Source organism: Homo sapiens, chromosome 19 (genome assembly GCF_000001405.40).
Source record: "Homo sapiens chromosome 19, GRCh38.p14 Primary Assembly".
Lineage (NCBI taxonomy): Eukaryota > Metazoa > Chordata > Mammalia > Primates > Hominidae > Homo > Homo sapiens.
The window spans coordinates 35247836-35267983 of record NC_000019.10 but is presented as its reverse complement, the minus strand read 5'-3'; the positions used below and the strand labels follow the sequence as shown (position 1 = coordinate 35267983).

At 54.5% G+C, this 20148-nt stretch overlaps 1 protein-coding gene and 1 long non-coding RNA gene across 11 annotated transcripts, besides 9 other annotated features; both read right to left on the bottom strand.

Annotated features, from left to right (window-relative positions):
• Positions 12-81: a silencer, noted in NCBI's record as "silent region_10520". NCBI's record gives its function as "represses an Ori minimal core promoter by ATAC-STARR-seq in GM12878 lymphoblastoid cells {active_cell/tissue: GM12878}" and the evidence as "EXISTENCE:reporter gene assay evidence [ECO:0000049][PMID:35858748]".
• Positions 20-18982, bottom strand: LSR (lipolysis stimulated lipoprotein receptor). Of its 10 annotated transcripts, none has more exons than NM_205834.4 (10): positions 18853-18982; positions 17325-17669; positions 8920-9039; positions 6003-6059; positions 5292-5438; positions 1452-1625; positions 1246-1305; positions 1017-1148; positions 250-875; positions 20-160 (listed from the first exon to the last, which is right to left on the bottom strand). In NM_205834.4, the coding sequence occupies exons 1-10, from the start codon at positions 18959-18961 to the stop codon at positions 125-127; spliced, it is 1806 nt and encodes a 601-aa protein (NP_991403.2). In that variant the 5' UTR covers positions 18962-18982; the 3' UTR covers positions 20-124. The 10 variants fall into 10 exon arrangements, with proteins under 10 accessions (NP_991403.2, XP_005259037.2, XP_011525328.2 ...); XM_005258980.3 differs by having other exon boundaries at positions 1017-1145; XM_011527026.3 differs by lacking the exon at positions 5292-5438.
• Positions 162-241: a silencer, noted in NCBI's record as "silent region_10519". NCBI's record gives its function as "represses an Ori minimal core promoter by ATAC-STARR-seq in GM12878 lymphoblastoid cells {active_cell/tissue: GM12878}" and the evidence as "EXISTENCE:reporter gene assay evidence [ECO:0000049][PMID:35858748]".
• Positions 3595-3644: an enhancer, noted in NCBI's record as "active region_14462". NCBI's record gives its function as "activates an Ori minimal core promoter by ATAC-STARR-seq in GM12878 lymphoblastoid cells {active_cell/tissue: GM12878}" and the evidence as "EXISTENCE:reporter gene assay evidence [ECO:0000049][PMID:35858748]".
• Positions 5162-5860: an enhancer, noted in NCBI's record as "H3K4me1 hESC enhancer chr19:35753027-35753725 (GRCh37/hg19 assembly coordinates)". NCBI's record gives its function as "activates a minimal SCP1, AML or CMV promoter by ChIP-STARR-seq in primed H9 embryonic stem cells {active_cell/tissue: H9 hESC(primed)}" and the evidence as "EXISTENCE:reporter gene assay evidence [ECO:0000049][PMID:30033119]".
• LOC105372380 (uncharacterized) lies at positions 6582-8913 on the bottom strand. The gene is made up of 2 exons (XR_935939.3): positions 8163-8913; positions 6582-6985 (listed from the first exon to the last, which is right to left on the bottom strand). It is a non-coding gene; the product is annotated as an uncharacterized LOC105372380 (long non-coding RNA).
• Positions 10064-10564: an enhancer, noted in NCBI's record as "H3K4me1 hESC enhancer chr19:35748323-35748823 (GRCh37/hg19 assembly coordinates)". NCBI's record gives its function as "activates a minimal SCP1, AML or CMV promoter by ChIP-STARR-seq in naive H9 embryonic stem cells {active_cell/tissue: H9 hESC(naive)}" and the evidence as "EXISTENCE:reporter gene assay evidence [ECO:0000049][PMID:30033119]".
• Positions 18491-19292: an enhancer, noted in NCBI's record as "NANOG-H3K27ac-H3K4me1 hESC enhancer chr19:35739595-35740396 (GRCh37/hg19 assembly coordinates)". NCBI's record gives its function as "activates a minimal SCP1, AML or CMV promoter by ChIP-STARR-seq in naive H9 embryonic stem cells {active_cell/tissue: H9 hESC(naive)}" and the evidence as "EXISTENCE:reporter gene assay evidence [ECO:0000049][PMID:30033119]".
• Positions 18819-18888: a silencer, noted in NCBI's record as "silent region_10518". NCBI's record gives its function as "represses an Ori minimal core promoter by ATAC-STARR-seq in GM12878 lymphoblastoid cells {active_cell/tissue: GM12878}" and the evidence as "EXISTENCE:reporter gene assay evidence [ECO:0000049][PMID:35858748]".
• Positions 19293-20095: an enhancer, noted in NCBI's record as "NANOG-H3K27ac-H3K4me1 hESC enhancer chr19:35738792-35739594 (GRCh37/hg19 assembly coordinates)". NCBI's record gives its function as "activates a minimal SCP1, AML or CMV promoter by ChIP-STARR-seq in primed H9 embryonic stem cells {active_cell/tissue: H9 hESC(primed)}" and the evidence as "EXISTENCE:reporter gene assay evidence [ECO:0000049][PMID:30033119]".
• Positions 19299-19378: a silencer, noted in NCBI's record as "silent region_10517". NCBI's record gives its function as "represses an Ori minimal core promoter by ATAC-STARR-seq in GM12878 lymphoblastoid cells {active_cell/tissue: GM12878}" and the evidence as "EXISTENCE:reporter gene assay evidence [ECO:0000049][PMID:35858748]".

The window sequence follows — 20148 nt, the reverse complement described above, 5'->3', positions numbered from 1 at the left end:
AAATGGTTCTCTCCAGAGCTTGTGATTATACGTTTTATTAGACTCGGGAGGGGTATGGCAGGGCTTCATCAGTGTTCCTTCAAATTAAAAAAAAAAATACAAAAGCTACGTAGAAAACGTCAGATCAGACGACTAAACTTTCCCGACTCAGGGCCAAGTTCTGCAAGGGAGAAAGAAAGAAGGGTATGAGCCGCGGGGACCGGCTGGGGGCCCAGGGACGGTCTGGACGCCAGGGAGGGCGGCCCTCACCTTCTTGAGCCTGCGCTCTCGGGACGCCTGCGAGTCGGTCTCCGAGTACGGGGGCGGCGCGGGCGGGTAGTAGGCCTCTTCCTCCTCCTCCTTGTGGGGTCTCCTCCTCTCCTCCGACCCCTTCTTCCTCACAGCCTCCTCCAGTAGCCGCCCATCATAGGGGAGGTCCCCGGACCTGGAGCCGTTGTCCCGAGGGTCCCGGGTACGGTGGTGGTGGGACCTGGGGTCGGCAGGAGGGCGCTCCCGAGACCTGAAGTCGTCGTAGTGGGGGTCCCGGGAGCGTGGGAAGTCCCTCGAGTCGTCTTGGTCATAGAGGTCGTCCCGGCTGCGGCTCCGCGGGGGCATGTAGGCCCGGCTTCTCCCACCATTACTCGTGGGAGACCTGCTCCCTGACTCGGCGGTGCTCGGCGGGGTGAGGTCGTCCAGGGCGTCCACGGAGCGGGCCCGGGGCCGCCTGGCCCGCCAGCCCCCGCCTGCCTGCTCCCTGGCGGGCTCCTGGTCCCATCCCCTGGGACTCCGGGGGGAGTGGCCACCCCACTCCTCATCCCGGATCGGGGTGAGGGCAGGGCCCCGGGAAGGCCGAGATCGCCAGTCGTCCTCGTGGAGGGAGGTGACTTCACTCATGGCTGCAGGGAAGGGGGGTGTCACTGACTGCTGGAGGAGCCCGGGGTCCAGGGTTTGCACCAAGAGTCCCTGCGGCAGGTATCAGGGAGACATGTTTCACCCCCCCACCTTAAAAGCCCTCAGACCCCAAGGCTCCTGCTTACCCCGCTCCACACGGCCACTGGGGGGGCCAGGTCGAGAAGGGTCGAAGTTGGCCAGCTCCTTCTCCATGTAGTACAGGACCCGCATGGAGTCGTCCTGCTGGCTGGCCTGAATCCTGTAGCCACTGCGGACTTCTAGGGACAGGGGGGTGGTGGTCGGTTTGGGAGGATGGATCCTGGCCCACCCCTCTCCCTTACAGGCACATCCAACTTCGGGACGATGGATTCTCACCAGAGGCCACACTGCTGTCCGTGTCCCGAAGCAGGGGTACATAGGAGCCTTGGCCACCAGCTGGGGGAGAGTGGCTGTCAGTGGCCGCGCACCAGGAGCAGAGCCCCTCCTCGGCTCCCAAGACACTCTTCCTTCCAGCCCCTGCCCCTCAGTGTCCAGATGCCCAGCACACTCCCACCAGCTGTTCCTGCTTCCCCCGGCCTCACCTGAGCTACTCCTGTCAACGTCTCCAGGGTATCCTCCAGGGTACCCGTTGTAGGCAGGGCCCATGGGAATCATAGCTGGTGGGGGTGGGGTCTTGGCGGGAGACAGGTGGGCATAGGTGCTGGGGGCATAAATGCTGGGAACACCTGAGGTGGCTGCTTTGCCGGCGGCATACACTGTGAGGACACAATCAACAGGAGAAGGGGGATGAGGCAGGAGCCAGGCTGCCCCATACCCATTGGGTTCCGGAGGGACCTGGGCCTGGACCTCCTTCCCAAGCCGTCCTCTCCGCTGTAGAGCTTCCTTGGACATCTGAGTCCCTGTTGGTCCTCATTCCATTTCTGCAGCATCCCTGAGGCTGGGGGACACCAGCTTCACAGAGACCCCACCCCACTTCCTGTGTGATTTTTCAGAGGGTGCACGCAGGCACCCACAGCCCCAGGGTGGCAGAACAATGTTTCATTTAACAGCATGGTAATTCGCCAACATTTGTCAATCAAAAGGTTTTACCTAAACTTCCAACTCCCCAGCTAACTTACTGGAAGAAGTGGCCACCCATGGTCTGTGTGTTTACAGGGCAACAAAGCTGCCCTTTATATAAAGCCCAGATGCTGGGTCCACCACTGTCCCCACAAGCCGAAATCAAGTATCCTCTTTGGCAGCCAAGCCCCTGTTCTAGAAAAAATGAGTCATCTGGGAGACGTGGGTCCTGCCCACCTGGTCACCTTCCAGATTGAGATGCAGTGGCAGGAGCCTCGGGAATTAACTTGCCTGCCCCGGCCAAGCAGCAAAGTGTCTCCTCTAGTGTTTCTAACTCATGGACTGCACCCATTTCTGCCTGCCCCACCAGGCTCTAGGCTTGACAGTTCAAGGTAAGATCCTCCTCCCTTCCTTCCTCCCTAGGGCAAGAGGCTTGCAAAATTCCTGGGCCCTAGGCAAGTGGCTTCCTCCCTGGGACCCCAACAGGAAAATGGAGGAGAGAGATGGGCCCAGAGAGGGTGCCTCACCTCTGATTTGGTTTGGAAGCAGAAGACTAAGTGCACAGCCTAGAGGAAGCCCCTTCATTAGCTCAGGCAGCCTGCAACTTTATCATCAGCAGTGGGACCTGCTGCCTCCTGAAGGGTGGGCGGAGGCTGTGGCAGCAGCAGATGTAACAGGGCCTCTGCCAGGGAGTTAATGGGGCCCTGGGTTGGGGTAACAGGGTCTCCGGATGGAGGAAATGTGGTGTGGGGACAGGGGAATGTGGCATTGGGACCAGCATTTAGTCCTGGCCCTAGCTCTGGTCTTAGTGGGTTCACTGCAAACTTGGTTGCAGCCCATCTGTGAAATGGACCTAACACTTACTCACTGAGCAAAAAGCTGTCAGCTGAACACAACAAGAGGGAGGGGATGGGATGGCCTGCATAAGCCTCCAGGGAGCAGTGGAATTTTTTCAGGGAAGTGATCCTTTGAGGAACCAGGTTGCACACCACTGACTTCAATGACTATAAAATTAGCCAGCGACTTCCTTAATGCTAACAACAACCCATGAAGTCAGGACCTAACAGAAGGAAACAGGACTCAGAGAGGGAAGGCTGCTTCTCTGGGGTCACTCTGTGTGCACCAGGGCTCTGACTGGTGCCCTGTCCCTCAGTCACTACTGAGGCTGATAGTGGCAGTGCCCAGCAGCTGACAGACGTAGAATATTTTATATAGGTTGGGCCCCATGCTCAATGGTGTGCACATGAGCTCGCCAAATCCCCAGATGCACCCAGTGTGGTGAGCTCTGCCATAAGCCCCATTTTATAGGGGATGACACTGAGCCCTAGGGAGGGAAACTGCTCACTGGGCTTCTGAGCAGGAAGGTGTCAAGCAGGCCTCAGCTCTCCACCTGCCCATGCTTGCAAGGATTGCCTGGCACTTCACTGTTCATGTATCTTGGACTGTGTGCACACAGGCTGGTCTACCCAGACACCCTCCTGAAGGAAACCAAGGACTGGCAACAGCTGTGGTCCCCGAGGAGGGGAAACGGGACAGCAGCTAGAGGGATGCTGAAGTGTCCATCAGTGCCACTTAGTGTACACACTGTGGTCTGGTGTCCCAAGGCTGATGGCTGTGACCACGTCAATCAGCTCCTCTGTGAAAGTGTCCCGTTGGGATATTCACAAACATTCACAGAAGAGAGACAGGAGCAAGTCTTTTTCAATTGCACATGTCTGACTCCTCTCATAGAGTTAGGTCCCTCTCTCTCTGTCTTCTGTCTTCTCTTACCTTCCCCTGCTTGGTTTGCTTACTTCCCCTTTAGCTCTCATCTCACATCCAGTCCCAGCTCTCCACAGTAGCCATGCTGGTGTGCTAGATACGACCCTAGACATAGTAGCTGGGTAAAATGTGCAGCATTCCTGTGGGTATGTGTTTTCAAACATTTGCTTAAATTTGGCCAGGCATGGTGGCTCACACCTGTAGTCCTAACACTTTGGGAGGCCAAGGTAGGGGTGCGGGGGAGCGGACTGCCTGAGGTCAGGAGTTCGAGACCAGCCTGGCCAACATGGCAAAACCCCGTCTCTACTAAAAATACAAAAATTAGTCAGGCGTGGTGGCAGGCGCCTATATCCCAGCTACTCGGGAGGCTGAGGCAGGAGAATAGCTTAAACCCGGGGGGCGGAGGTTGCAGTGAGCAGAGATCACGCCACTTTACTCCAGCCTGGGCGACAGAGTGAAACTGTCTCCAAAAAAAAAAAAAAATTTGCTTAAGTTTAAGGCCAGGTGTGGTAGTTCATGCCTGTAATCCCATCACTTTGGGAGCCTGAGGCAGGATCACTTGAGGTCAAGAGTTCAAGACCAGCCTGGGCAACATAGCAAGACCCTGTCTCTACAGAAAATTTTTAAAAATTGGCCAGCATGGTGGCACATGCCTGTAATCCCAGCACTTTGGGGAGGCTGACTTGGGAGGATCACCTGAGGCCAGGAGTTTGAGATCAGGCTGGGCAACATACTGAGACCCCGTCTCTACAAAAAACAAAAATCAAAAAATTAGCTGGGCATGGTGGTGTGTGCCTACAGTCCCAGCTGCTCCAGAGGCTGAGGCGGGAGGACTGCTTGAACCCGGGAGTTTGAGGCTGCAGAGAGCTATGATCGCACTGCACTGCCTGGATGACAGAATGAGACCCTTTCTCTAAAACAAAAAAAATTTTTTTTGCTTAAATCATGTAGTGTTGTAAACCTTGTTTGGTTTCTTAACTTTTTCACTTAACATTTTTTTTTCTTTTTTTTTTGAGACAGAGTCTCACTCTGTCGCCCAGGCTGGAGTGCAGTGGCGTGATCTCAGCTCACTGCAACCTCCACTTCTTGGGTTTAAGCGATTCTCATGCCTCAGTCTCCTGAGTAGCTGGGATTACAGGCGATCACCACCATGCCCAGCTAATTTTTGTATTTTTAGTAGAGAACTGGGTTTTACCATGTTGGCCAGGCTGATCTGGAACTCCTGACCTCAAGTGATCCACTCGTCTTGGCCTCCCAAAGTGCTGGGATTACAGGCGTAATCACTGCGCCTAGCCAAGATTTGGTTTTTTTAGAGGGCTTTACTTCCATGTGACTAGTATCTTGTACTGTTGGACATTTTTACCATGTGTATGGATTATACTTACAAAAGAAAAGAACAACATAAATAAAAATAAACTAAAAGTTGGAGGAAGTAAACGACAATCTAAACAGCAGACCCTCCTCAGCCTACTTTCTCCCCACTGGCTAAATTCACACCCTCCAGACCAACGCCACTGTCCTGGGGGCAGGTGGATGGCCACCTCCTTCCCTTGGATGCAGGATGTTGCCCAAACCAGGGTGGCCATGAGCGGGACACTTACGGGCCTCGGGGCAGCAGCACTTGTCTGGGCAGCAGGGGCACCTGACGTAGCAGCAGCAAGTGTGCGGGCAGCACTGGCACCAGCAGATGCCCAGGAGGAGGAAGATGAGGAAGGCAGCCAGGCATACCACAACCACGAAGAGCCAGTCTGCAGAAAGACAACAGGCCCTGAGCCCGGAGGCCTGGGAGGGAACAGGGCTAACGGCACAGCAGGGGTACATGGTGCGGAGCCAGCACTGAGGTCGGGGACGATTTGCAAAGCTCACCAAGGAACCTGCAGCCCTGGCTGGATTTTTTGTGCCAGAGGCTGGGCACAGCACACTCCCCATTCTACCATCCCGGCCATTCCCCAGTTACGGCCCTCCCCCAGGTGCAAAAAACACAAGGCAGAAAACGAGGCAGCCTGCACAGAGGGAGACAGACTGCAGCCCCCAGACCAAAGAGAGAGCCAGCTGCCCAGACGCCACACCCTCAAGAGCACCGCAGGTGCCAGTCACAGAGCCCTGGCCTGCACCCCAGGCTCTCCTCAGCCCAGCCTAGCCTAGGCCCAGCGCCAGACCACTAGATGCCTCAGAGCCACAGTCAGGCCAGGTTAGTGAGGGGTCCACAGTGAGCAGGGTTTAGTGGGGAAGGGGATACTAACTAGAGTCAGAAGCAGTAGGTGATGTATGGGAGCTCCCGAGAAGCCCAACTCAGGATCCACCCCCCGTACCTTCTATGGGCCCCGCCTGAAAACCAGGTAAGAGCTCAGCCACCCCTGAGGTCCTCCCTGGAGGGACAAAAGAGAAACAGATTATGCTGGCCAGAGCCAGCCCAGGCTGTGCCACCCCCGAAAGCCCAGCTCCAGGCTGGCCAAGTGCAAGGTGTGCCCTGAAGCGGGAAGGGGCTGGGGGCTGAAGCCCTAGTGCATGGCTCCTACCCTCCACCCGCCCACATGTGGGTGCTTATAGGTAAGAAACTCCCATTGCATAATCCACCTGTGTTATGCCACGAGGGCTCCAATACAAATCCCAGGGGGTTCTGAGGGCTCTACCTCAGCTTGGGCACCCTAAGTTTCCCTCATTCATAGGTCTTAGCACCCCAAAGGGCTCCAACCACGGTGATAGGGATGTCCTGTTCCAGCAGGCACAGGGACCTAGGGCCCACGAAATAGGATCTCAGCTCTGTCGCCCAGTCTGGAGTGCAGGGGTGTGATCATGGCTCACTGCAGCTTCAACCTCGTGGGCTCAGGCGATCCTCCCACCTCAGCCTCTGGGGTAAGTAGCTAGGGCTACAGGCATGTGTCACCACACCTGGCTGAAATGGTTTAATTTTACTTTACAAATCTGAACACAAATTAACACAATATACAGGAATAAACTCTTTGTGACAACATAATCACACATTTTTTTTAAAACAGGAAGGGACCCATGAAGGCAAAAATACCCACATATGAAAGTCATATGCAGTCCTGGTTCTGGGACCCACAAGGTCTCCATCTCTACTCATGCACTGTCACATTCACGCATCTCAGAGCCGGTTCTTGTCTTCCCTCGAGTGCCCCTGGAGCTCTGAGCCCCACCAGTGTTGTGTCTGAGGGGCCTCCACAGGCCCAGCTCTGCACCCACGAAGCCCTCCCCAGAGCTCATGCACTTGGCACTATAGGCCCTCGCAACAGGACAGAGGCATGTCAGTCACAGCTCTCAAAGCGTGGTCCTGTCCACAAGGCCAAAAGAAGAAATTTTAGAATAACACTAAGATGTTATTTGCCTTTTTCACTTGTTCTCCCATGAATGTCCAGTAGAGTTTCCCAGGCTCCCTGATGCCATCATCGCCCTGATGCCTAATGGACTATATGCGTGTGTGTGTGTGTGTGTGTGTTTGTGTTTCTTGAGCCAGGGTCTCTGTCACTCATGCTAGAGTGCAGTAGCATAGTCACGGCTCACTGCAGCCTTGACCTCCTGGGTGCAAGCGATACTCCTGCCTCAGCCTCCCAAGAAGCTGGGCTCACAGGTGCATGCCACCATGCCTGGTTAATTTTAAAATTTTTTGTAGAGTCAGGGTCTTGCCATGTTGCCCAGTCTTCCTTGTGTATCTTGGGCTTGAAAAATCTCCCCATTTTAAGGCCGGGCAGTGGCTCATGCCTGTAATCCCAGCACTTTGGGAGGCCCAGGTGGGTGGATCACGAGGTCAGGAGATCGAGACCATCCTGGCTAACATGGTGAAACCCAGTCTCTACTAAAAATACAAAAAAAATTAGCCGGGTGTGGTGGCGGGTGCCTGTAGTCCCAGCTACCTGGGAGGCTGAGGCAGGAGAATGGCGTGAACCCAGGAGGTGAAGCTTGCAGTGAGCCGAGATCGAGCCACTGCACTCCAGCCTGGGCGACAGAACGAGACTCCATCTCAAAAAAAAAAAAAAAAAAGGAAAATCTCCCCATTTTAATTCCTAATATGTTAAGCAACAGATAGACATAAAACCCACAGAAACAAACAAAAGCTCTTGGAGACCCTCGATAATGTTTTAGAGTGTAAATAGACCTGGAGACTAATTTTGGGAACTGCTGATGCAAATGGTGCATTTTACCGAAGAACAGGCAGAGGTTCCTGGGTCACTGGTGCACGTGTTCCATCCCCCACACATGAACTCTGTCTTGCAGCCCAAGTACCCCCCAGTCACGTGCTCATTCACACATGTGAAGATGGCAGTGTACAGCCCAGCGGCATCACTCATGCAGAGCACATGTCATACAAGACTCCATGTGTTGGCTTACAGCAGGGCACCTGGCCGATGGCAACATCCCCCTAACACAAGGAGGCCTCCCAGCCACACGGACACCCCGCCCTGCCCCTGGGTGTCTGGAATCGGCTTCGTTTCAGCTGCACTCAAACTTACACAGTGTGTGTGCCATGCAGCGCCATCCCAGCAGGGCACACGGCAAAACCGCTGTGCTTTGGCGAGGGACTCGGGTGAGATGAGGCCTTGGGGATGTAGCAAGAGGTGGGTCGATTTTGCACACCATCAACTGTCCTCATTCACTGCCCATGGACTCTGACCACGTCTGGATTTTTTTTTTTTTTGGACAGAGTCTCACTCTGTCGCCCAGGCTGGAGTGCAGTGGCTTGATCTTGGCTTACTGCATCCTCTGCCTCCCAGGTTCAAGCAATCCTCATGCCTCAGCCTTCTGAGTAACTGGGATTACAGGCATGTGCACCACCACGCCTGGCTTTTATATTTTTTATAGAGACGGGATTTTGCCACGTTGGCCAGGCTAGTCTCGAACTCCTGGCCTCAAGTGATCCACCCGCCTCGGCCTCCCAAAGTGCTGGGATTACAGGCATGAACTACCGCACCCGGACCCCAAGTCTGGATTTTTTTTAAAAATGAGACTTTGAAAAGGCAGAGTCTCCAATTGTCTCCACTCTTCTCTTAGTTTGGCTTGGGTGATTGGAGGCACTGTGGGCCAGTGGTCCCTGCCTGGGGTGCAGGGCACAGGGGAGCCTAAGTGACTGGCAGAGCCTGGGGGAGAGCAGAGCAGGCGACAGAGCCCAGAGGGTAAGCTGGAGGGCAGAGGGCGGACACAGGGGAGGGCAGACAGAACAGAAGCGGACAAAAGGAAGGGCCATGCCTCCCCCTTCCCAGGCCCACTCACCAAGGACGATGAGCTCTGCGTAGGCCTCATTGTTCCCCTGGAGGTCCTGGGCTGAGACCACGGAGCAGTAATACACACCACTGTCCCCCCACGCCGTCTGGTCAAAGGTCAGGTCAGCATCTGAGTCGGGATGAAAAGGCGTGAGGGCACCTTGGAGGCTGGGGCACCTAACCCCTGGAGGGCCAAAGACCCCTTCCCAGCACACCCAGGAGGGGGCAAGCAGTGGGCTGGGCAGGCTGCAGATGATCAAATGCATATGCAAAGATTCCTACCAAGGGCACACGGCCTTTTACACCCCGTTCTAAACACCTGGACTACTGCAAGAAGTCTGTGAGGCAGGACCATTATCACTTCTGTTTTGTGGATGACATTTCGGGTCTGGAAAAGCTGCACAGCTCTTCAGTATAGAGCAGTAATGGTGCCCTCGGAGCCTGAGGTTGTTTTTTTTTTTCTTTCTTTAGAGACAGGGTCTCACTCTGTGGCCCTGGCTGGAGTGCAGTGGTGTAATTATAGCCCACTGCAACTTCAACCTCCTGGACTCAAGCAATCCTCCCACCTGAGTAGTTAGGACTACAGGCACTCCACCATGCCCAGCTTTTTTTTTTTTTTGTTTGAATCGGAGTTTCACTCTTGTTGCCCAGGCTGGCATGCAATGGTGCGAACTAATCTCGGCTCACTACAATCTTCGCCTCCCAGATTCAAGCAATTCTCCTGCCTCAGCCTCCCATGTAGCTGGGATTATAGGCACCTGCCACCACACCTGGCTAATTTTTGCATTTTTAGTAGAGATGGAGTTTCGCCATGTTGACCAAGTTGGTTTTGAACTCCAGACCTCAGGTGATCCACCCCCACCTCAGCCTCCCAAAGTGCTGGGATTACAGGCGTGAACCACCACACCCAGCAGTCTGTGCTTCTCAACTTACAGCCATCTCTGAACCACCTCTCAGAGCCAAAGTCAGAACTCCCCTGATGTGAACTGCCACCCACAGGGCCTAGTGTAGACCCCAGGGATGGGTGTGGAGATAAACAGGCCAGATTCTAGGTACCAGGAGATGCCCAGGCACCCATAAGGAGTGGGTGTGTCTATGTGGGAGAGAGAGACTTACCCTCCCAGTGCCTTGGTTCCTCCCCCTCCCCTTCCATCCCCACATTCCAGGTCAGGCCCAGGGCTTGGGGACGCTCTTGTCTGAAGCAGCTGCAGGCAAGGAGCCTGTTAACTCTACCATCCATCAAAGTGTTTTGGCACATCCTGTTTCCTCTCTGCTTCTCAGGCACTAATTAAATACCTTCAGCCTTTCACCAGGGTGGGACCAGGGCACCTACCAGGCAACTCTGCCTTAAGCCACTGGGGACAGAAGTAGGCTACATTGGGCATCTCGGGCAGGAAATGCCCTCAGCTTCCCGGCCTCTTTCCTCCTAGCCTGACCTGCCTGCCACCTTCCCAAGGACGCGCTGCCCTCCTGCATGACAGCTCTGTGACGGCAGCAACCACGCGTGCTGCAGTCCACAGCACCTGGCACCCCCAGGAATGAAAGAACCCTTGCTTTCTTCATAAGGAAGGCCTCATGTCTACAGAAAAATCCTCCTTGCAACAGTGTCTGGCTACAGCATTCCAGACGCCTTCCCTAAGGTCCCATAGTCCCATGGTCCCCAAGGCCCTTGGCACGACGTGGTCTCTAGCTACCGTGCCAGCCTCACCCCTGCCATCGCCTTGGTTCTAGATTTGCACTGTCCCCCTGTGGGCTGGGCTTCTCCCACGGCTCCCCCACCCAACTGCTGAAGTCTTATCTCCCAGCTTAGGGGCCGACCATCCTTTGCCTGGTGAAAATGTGGGCTCCGTGAGGCAGAGCCCTGTCTGTCTCAGCCACTGCTGGGTCCCCAGTGCCTGACACAATACCTGGCAAGGAGCAGAAATGAACACCCTCTTGGCCGGACATGGTGGCTCACACCTGTAATCCTAACACTTTGGGAGGCTGAGGCAGGTGGATCACTTGAGGTCAGGAGTTCCAGACCAGCCCGGCCAACATGGTAAAACCCCATCTCTACCAAAAATGTAAAAAATTAGCTAGGCATGGTGGCACGCACCTGTAGTCCCAGCTACCCTGGAGGCTGAGGCAGGAGAATTGCTTGAACTCAGGAGGCAGAGATTGCAGTGAGCTGAGATTGCACCACTGCACTCTAGCCTGGGCAGTAGAGTGAGACTCCATCTCAAAAAAAAAAGAAAAAAAAGGAAACGAACCCCCTCTCCTCATGCTAAAGTCCCTTAGCTTTTGTCATCTGTCTCATCATTCTGGGCACATGGCTGGATTCAAAGACACATTTCTTTCTTTCTTTCATTCATTCATTCATTCATTCATTCATTCATCCTTCAACAATAATTACTGAGTACCACCTATGTTCTAGGCAGTATTTGAGACACCTGGGATACCACAGCAACAGTTCTCAAACTGCAGCCTCTAGACCCTGGGGTTCCCCAAGACGTTTTCAGGAGATCCTGAGGTCAAAGTTATTTTCCCAACAATACTAACTGTGGAGTTTTCCAGAGGCTACGTGACATACAATAGATATCACAACAGACTGAAGCAGCTCTGAGAAGCCAGGCTCTTCTATCCAGCCAGGCTTCGGAGACTTGCAAAAAAATAAAACCATGCCACCTTCTCATTCACAATGTTTTGTCTGATTTCAGAAAATGATTATTTTTTTCATAAAAGGTATTTTATTTATGTTAATCTATAATGACTTTATTGTCATTTAAACTATTTTGTAAACTTTTCTCATTCTGCTGCCTATGAAAACAAACTCTTTGAGCTCTTAATTTTTTTTTTTTTTTTGAGATGGAGTCTCGCTCTGTTGCCCAGGCTGGAGTGCAGTGGCACGATCTTGGCTCACTGCAGCCTCTGCCTCCTGGGTTCAAGCGATTCTCCTGCCTCAGCCTCTTGAGTAGCTGGGATTATAGGCGCCTGCCAACATAACTGGCTAATTTTTGTATTTTTAGTAGAGACAGGTTTTTCACTGTGTTGGCCAGGCAGGTCTGGAACTCCTGACCTCAAGTGATCTGCCCGCCTGGGCCTCCCAAAGTGCTGGGATTCCAGGCATGAGCCACCTCGCTAGGCCTGAGCTCTTAATTAACCTCAAAATCAAGAATATAAAAGAGGCCTAAGCCCGGAACCTTTGAGTTATAAATCCTTGCCCTTGCCCTTCTAGAGTTCAGATTCTAACTAGGAAAGAAAGACAAATATAAAATGTTAACTATGTCACATATCAGACAAAGATAAGCTGTATGGAGAAAACGAATCAGGGACAGCAGAGAGTGCCAGGCGTGGAGTGGGGGCTGTGCCATTTTAAACAAGGAGGCCAGGGAAGGCTTCCGGATATGGTGACCTTCAGAGCAGATGTGAAGGGGTTGAGGACACGACTTACCCTAATGATCAGGCATCTAAGCCACTGTTTTTTTGTTGTTGGTGTTGTTTTTTAATTTTGAGATGGGATCTTGCTTTGTTGTCCAGGTTGATCTTGAACTCCAGGGCTCAAGTGATCCACCTGCCTCAGCCTCCCAAAGTGCTGGGATTACAGGCATGAGCCACCGCCCCTAGCCCCCACCGTTTATTGAGCTCTTACTATGTGCTGGGCCCCTCTACACACATTCTTTCATTGAATCCTCATAGAATTCCAAACTAGGTTCTCCTAAATCCCCAGGTTTGCCACAATGCCCTCTTCGTCCATCATTTTTCCACCTGTATCTTTTTTGAGAGGGCCTAGCTTGGTCGCCCAGGCTGGAGTGCAGTGGTGCGATCATGGGTCACTGCAGCTTCGAACTCCTAGGCTCAAGCAATCTTCCCATCTCCAGAGTAGCAGGGTGTGCCATCATGCCCCGCTAAATTTATTTTTTTGTAGTCTCTGGGTCTCACTGTGTTGCCCAGGCTGGTCTCCCAGCTCCTGTCCTCAAGCAATCCTCCTGCCTCGGCCTCCTGAAGTGCTGGGATTACAGGCATGAGCCACCAGTGTCTTCAGATCAGACCCTGACCGTGCCTCTTCAACACTGGAGCTCAAGAGCTGGTCCCTGCTATAAACAAAAGAGGTGGACAGGAACCGCCTGCCATGGCAAACAGATCATATAGGCCAGGGGTTGAAATCTGGCATCTTGTAGGCCGAGGCTGGACCTCACTGTGTTTTGTTTGACCTGTCTGACATTTTCAAAACTCACAAAAAATATAGTTTTCCGGCTTCTTTTGATCCATCCTAAGGTCTGGGCACACCTTCTTCCTGCAGGGCGTACCCTGTTCCTGGTCTTGGGCTGGCCGTGATCTCATCCGGGCTGAGCACTGCTTTCATTGTTTTAGGTCGGGGAGAAGATGCCAGGTCTCCAGTGGGAACAGCAGCCAGGCCTCCTCCACATCTCCAACCTCTGGTTCCTTCTTTATACACCGCAAAGGTGACCTTCATGATTTCAGAGGTCCCATGGGCTCTCTGCTGCAGTGCAGCTGGAGGTGGGGGCACTTGGACCCCAAGGAGCCCGAGGAGGTGGAACAGGGCCTCCTGTCCAGGTGCTGGTCCATCACCCAAAGCATGGAAGGACAAAGCAGGGAATGAGCCACCGGACCGGAGGGATGCCTGGAGTGGACAGCCTTCTACCTTATCCAGGACTATTTTCACTTTTGAAACCAGGATAGGCCGGGCATGGTGGCTCACATCTGTAATCCCAGAACTTTGGGAGGCCAAGGCAGGCAGATCACCTGAGGTCAGGAGTTTGAGACCAGCCTGGCCAACATGGCGAAATCCCATCTCTACCAAAAAGATACAAAAATTAGCCAGGTGTGGTGGTGTGCACCTGTAATCCCAGCTACTCAGGAGGCTGAGGCGGGAGAATCACTTGAACTTGCGAGGCAGAGGTTGCAGTGAGCTGAGATTGCACCACTGCACTCCAGCCTGGGCAACAGAAAAAAAACAACAACAACAGAAAAACCCCAGCACAGTGGGTGACCCTAGGAACACCACGGGGAGTCCACTTTTCCCCATCCTCAAAGCTGAAACAGAGGAAGCTCCTATGGCTATGGGATTTCCTGAAAGGACACACACAATGGATGTTTACACTCAGGGCCTTGATCAAACACAGGCCCAGGTGGGGGTGGTTTGAAAGACCCAGGCCTGTGAGGCCCCTGGAGCATGCAGGGCCCCTTCCCCGAGACAGAGCCTGGGGGGTCATCCTGGACTTTTGCGTCCAGCAGAGGAAGCACCCTCAGTATTTGGCTTGTCCTGGCAGAAGCTTAGCAGTCACGCCTGGTCCAGGCAGGCACAATCCCTGGGTTAGAGAGGAGGGGGCCTAAGCAGCCCTGTGACCTCAATAACAGTAGGATGCTCATGGCTGAGCTGCCCACAGAAATTCAGGGCAAGCAAGCCTGGTGCCTCCTCTGAAACAGGACTGACATAGGCTCAGCCCCTGGAACCCTGCTTCCCATCGATCCTCTAGCAGAATGTGCTCCAGTTCCTGGCTTCTTGGGGTCTGCAAAGGGATGCTCCCTTCCCCGCTCTGCCCCATGCCCAACTTTAAATTCTTGTTTAAGACAGTGAACACACACTAAGACATGAGGTACGTGAGCCTTCATCCCTGGCACCCTGCCCCTCCCCTTCCTCTCTGCCTTCTAGGTTCTGTAAGGCCCAGGCCCAGGCCCTCCTCAAATCATATTCACAGCCCAAGTCATTCCATGTAGCACATCACCCAGTGCTATTTTCTTTTTTCTTTTTTTTTTAAGACGGAGTCTCACTGTTTCCCAGGCTAGAGTGCAGTGGCGCAATCTTGGCGCACCGCAACCTTCGCCTCCCAGGTTCAAGCGATTCTCCTGCCTCAGCCTCCCGAGTAGCTGGGATTACAGGCGCCCACCACCACGCCCGGCTAAATTTTGTATTTTTAGTAGAGATGGGATTTCACCATGTTGGCCAGGCTGGTCTCGATCTCCTGACCTCAGGTGATCCACCCACCTCGGCCTCCCAAAGTGCTGGGATTACAGGTGTGAGCCACTGCGCCCAGCCTATTTTCTTTTCATTTCAAGACAGGGTCTCACTCTGTCACCCAGGCTGGAATGCAGTGGCACGATCATGACTCACTGAAGCCTTGACCTCTCAAGCCCAAGCAATCCTCCCACCTCAGCCTCCTGAGCAGCCGGGACCACAGGCACATGCCACCATGCCCAGCTAATTTTTAAATTTTTAAAATTTTTGTAGACATGGGGTCTCATTTTGTTGTCCAGGCTGGTCTCAAACTCCTAGGCTCAAGTGATCCTCCTGCCTTGGCCTCCCAAAGTGCTGAAATTTACAGGCATGAGCCAATGCACCCAGCCTGGTGTTATTTTCTTTGCAACACTTAGTACTCTCTGACATTCTTATACCTTGACGGAGTCTTTTTTTTTTTTTTTTTTTTTGAGACAGAGTCTCACTCTGTCGCCCAGACTGCAGTACAGTGGTGCGATCTCAGCTCACTGCAACCTCTGCCTCCTGGGTTCAAGCGATTCTCATGCCTCAGCCTCCTGAGTAGCTGGGATTACAGGCATGTGCCACCATGCCTGGCTAATCTTTGTATTTTTAGTAGAGACGGGGTTTCACCATGTTGGCCAGGCTGGTCTGGAACTCCTGACCTCAGGTGATCCACCCACCTTGGCCTCCCAAAGTGCTGAGATTACAGACGTGAGCCACCGTGCCCAGACTTTGAAATTCTCATACTCTTTCTTTATCTGCTTATTTACTGCCAGTCTCACTCCACCAGAATGTCATCTCCTTGACGACAGAAACTTCAGCCATCCCAATCACCTCTATCCCCAGCACCAACGACACATAGTCGATGCTTGATAAATACCAAATGAATGAATGAATGACTGCCCCTTACTTAGTCCCAACAGGCACATCCTATCAGGAGGCAGCATTACAGTTAAGAACAAGGGGCCGGGCGCGGTGGCTCACGCCTGTAATCCCAGCACTTTGGGAGGCCGAGGCGGGCGGATCACGAGGTCAGGAGATCGAGACCATCCCGGCTAAAACGGTGAAACCCCGTCTCTACTAAAAATACAAAAAATTAGCCGGGCGTAGTGGCGGGCGCCTGTAGTCCCAGCTACTTGGGAGGCTGAGGCAGGAGAATGGCGTGAACCCGGGAGGCGGAGCTTGCAGTGAGCCGAGATCCCGCCACTGCACTCCAGCCTGGGCGACAGAGCGAGACTCCGTCTCAAAAAAAAAGAACAAGGTTCTCAGGGCTGCCTGGGTTCAAACCCCAGCTCCAGACTTTGACTTCCTATGCACCCATTTGAACAAGGTAACCTCTCTGTGCCTCAGCTGTCAGGAGGGTAGAGGAGAGGACTCAATGGGAGAATATGTGTGCAGTTCCTGGCATGTCACAGGCTTTCTCCATTAAGCTCTCTTGCCCCTGCAGTTCACTCCTGCCATCTCCTCTGTGAGTCCTCTGCGGACCACCCTAGGCAAGCAAAGGGATTAGGAGCTTGGCCACTAGACCCAAAGTGGCTGAGTTAGAATCCCAGCCCCGTTACCAGCTATGACACTAGGCAAGTCACTTTCTCTCTCTGGGCCTCTGTAAGATGACAATGATAGAATCTATTCAATTACTGTGTGGTCTGAGTTAATCCTTGGGAACCTGGATGAGAGCTTAGCACACAGTAGACCCTTTATAAGTTGTTACTTAGATAAATTTTACTTCTTACTGCTCGTGTTATTAATGATTATAGAACAAACCCTGGCCTCTTCTCTCCGTTACCCAGTTTTCTTTATCTTCAAGGACTTGAGAGTGTGTGTCGTGTTTGTCTCTCTCACTGCAATGTGGGCTCCACGAGGGAAGTGGTTTGATGATTTTGTTAACAGCTGTATTCCCAGGGCCCAGAACAGCACCTGGTATATGACAGGTACTCAAAAAATCTTCGTTATTAAATTAAAGAATGGAAGGATTAGCAGAAGGAAGAATAGTAGAATAGAATCGCTCCCTTTAGGCTGGGTATGGTGTCTCTCAGCACTTTGCGAGGCCAAGGCGGGCAGATCATTTGAGGTCAGGAGTTTGAGACCAGCCTGGCCAACATGGTGAAACCCCATCTCTACTAAAAATACAAAAATTAACTGGGCGTGGTGGCACGCACCTGGAGTCCCAGCTACTCGGGAGGCTGAGGCAAGAGAATTGCTTGAACCTGGGAGGTGGAGGTTGCAGTGAGCTGAGATCGCACCACTGCACTCCAGCCTGGAGTCCAGAGCAAGACTCCATCTTCAAAAAAAAAAAAAAAAAGAATTGCTCCCTTCAATGGTCCTTTCAGACACTGGCACTCAAGAGCTTTCAGATGGGGACTCCAGGTCCCGCACAAGGACGCCAGTCCCACCACCCGGGCAAGCCCAGCCTCATCCCCCTGCCCTGCCCAACATACTTCCGGTGATGGTAATCCTCCGGCCCTGGTAGTAATCTCCCAGGGTCACAGCGTTGCCCTGCTTGGTGGCCACGACCCTGACGGTGCGCACGCTGTCCTGGCACTCAACGTAGGGGTTGTAGCCTGGGTTCCCGGCTGCCAGCTGGGCATTGAGCTGGTTGTCGACGCTGGCCGGGGAGAAGGCATCGGCGATGCGGTCCCGGCAGAAAGACTTGTACTTCCAGATGACGATGGGTTGCGTGGGGGTCGAGGTCATCTGGTAGGTACAGGGCAGGGTCACAGGCTGGAAGAGGATCACCACGTGGTAGGGGTTGGACACGGTCACCTGGATGGCCCTGGCAGGAGCTGAGGGCAAGAGGAGAGACAGCAAGGGTTGCTGTGAGCTCAGGGAGGTGCTTCAACAGGAACGCCACCTGTCACCAGCTTGACACTCGCAAGTATGTGGTTTACAGAGTGCCTGGCACACATTGTTCCTTAATTGCCAGGACCAGTGAGGTAGCCACGATAATCATGCCCATTTTATAGACCCGTGGGGCTGAAGTGGCAGGTGCACGGTGACACGGCCAGTTTCCTTGGACTCGCCCGCCATCCCTCTTCCCAGCCTGTGGCCTCTGAACCACACCAGTCCCCTCTTCCCTTTGCCATTCACCCACAACAAGGGGCCTCTGTGTGGCCTGGGCAGGCAAGCCCAGATGGCCATGTTGATGCCCCCAGCGCCCAAGGCCCCACTTCAAAACCGACTACGAAGGATTCCAGGTTACCCGGGGCCTTTTGAATTTGGAGGGAAAACCATGGAGTTGTTTGCCTGAACTGCTTTGCCATGGAGGGACTAAAGCCCCCACAATATCTCCATCAGCCTCCCACCACCTCACCCTACTCTAAAGTCATTTCAAATGACTGAACCAAAAGTGTCTCGGGAAAGACCTCATCACCACCCAAATATCCCATCCAGGTGAAAGCCTGCCAGCAGAAGTCGGTTTCAAGTCCGTAAATCCATCCCACCAGACTCTTACGCACGTATAATCCGGAGCCCGCGGGAGGTGGGTGGGGTGCGGGGGATGGGGAGTCCCCAGTCCCACACCCACCCGAGGCCTAGGCATTGTTCCTTCGTCTCTGTCCCTCTAGGAAGCGTCTGATCCAGCCCTCCCGTGCCCTCTCCCCGTTACTCCAAAACTTAGAAATCCCCGGGTGCGCCCAAGTCCCATCCCGGCTTTTCTTTTCCCAGAGATCGGGCGGTCTTCCACTCCCTCCCCACAAAGAGTTCCATTCTCCCTGCCGCTCCGGGTCTCACCGTCCAGGGAGTTTCACTTCCTGCTATCTTCCAGATAAGGGCGCGGGGAGCGCTCCCCGGCACAAATGGGGAATTCCTCTCACTCCCGCGCGCAACAGATCGCCCAAGACCCAGGGGATCGGAAGGTCCCAGCCTCTGAGACCCCCGCTTCCCGCTTCCCGCCGCCTCCAACTCCATCCATCCCCCTCTACAGTTCCCTCCGGCGTTCCGCAGCGTCAGAGGCCCCGTGCCCCGTACCTGTGCACCAGGTGCTAAGCAGAAGCCACACGAAGACGACCGCGTCCCGGCCTGCGGCGGCCGGGTGGGAGCCCAGCCCTCTGGAGAGCCCGCCGGCCAACAGCGCCATCGCGGCCGTCTGGGCGCGTCTGGCCCGCGCGTCCCTTCCAAAGTACCTTAGGGGGCGCGGCGCGCACCAAGGCCAGGAGGGGTGCACGCTCCTCCCCTTCCCACTTCCGTTCCTTGTCCCTACTCCAAGTCCGTCCTGTTGCATTCTGGAAGTTTTAATGAGCGTAAACGACGTGGACAAAGGGCATGCTTTCAGATATGGGGGAGAAAGGTGCTTGACCCGCCGCGGTCCTCCGAGCCACACTCCACCCGCTGCGCGCTCCGGTGAATGGTTCGGCCCAGGTACACAAGGGTGGGAGCCGAGGGCTGGGCTTAGGGGTGAGCGGCGGGGAGGGGTTCCTCTGCCTCCCTCCCCGGAAGTGGGCTGACCCAGGTGCGCTCCGTCCCCCAGGGCCCGAACCAAGTGACTGGCCCGCTGGGAGGGCGCCTGCGGACCACAGGTCCCTTCCGGCCCCCATCTGCTCCGGCCAAACCAAGCGCACCGAGATCCATGCAACCGAGACCCACTTGGAGCGATTCACCTGTTGAGATAGGGCGGGTCCCGCCGCGCACCTGTTCCCTCCCTGCCCAAACCCCTCTCCCCGGCTGGCGATGGACCCGCCTAGGTGCGCCCTGCCGGGAGGAGCGAGTCTAAGCAAAGTCCTGGCTGGGAGAGGCTTGTTGGTGGCGCCTGACTTCTCCACTTCCACTGGGGTTCCTCCGGACCGGGTGGAGGGGGGGCGCTTCGGGCCTCCTGTGTCTCCCAGTTAGATGACCTGAGGAACCCTCTAAAGTCCCCGGAAGGGAAGCTCTGCCCCCTCAGGGATGCCCAAGGGGAATCAGGGCCAGGAAAAGTTGGAATTCCACTTCGGAAGTTTTCGCCACCTCCCCCACCCGTTCCCAACTTGTGGTTCGGCCCCTGGGCATCCCTAGCCCCCGGGTCAGCCCTCCGGAAATTCTGGCTCTTAAAGGGGCCGAGCGAAGGCGCGGGGCTTGGGACCGGTTTCCGCTTAGGAATTCCCGGAACGAGCCACCTGCGACCGAGGGCGGGGGCGCGGCGCGGCGATCAGCCTGCGCAGCGCTGGGCGTGACTCTGCTGTCTCCAGGTGGCGGCGAGGGAAAGCGCATCCTGGGGGAACCCTGGGCGCTTCCTCGCGTTAGACTCCCCCAGGTTGCCAACTGGCCAGTGGCTGGTTTCGGTACCCAGGC

What these genes read in the sequence shown, in the direction of transcription:
- LSR (NM_205834.4), bottom strand. Translation starts at nt 18,961, where the DNA reads ATGGCGCTGTTGGCCGGCGGGCTCTCCAGAGGGCTGGGCTCCCACCCG. An exon ending in GCTTAGCACCTGGTGCACAG is followed by an intron (nt 17,670 to 18,852) that starts GTACGGGGCACG and finishes TCTTGCCCTCAG; the next exon opens with CTCCTGCCAGGGCCATCCAG. An exon ending in GAGAGCGCAGGCTCAAGAAG is followed by an intron (nt 161 to 249) that starts GTGAGGGCCGCC and finishes TCTCCCTTGCAG; the next exon opens with AACTTGGCCCTGAGTCGGGA.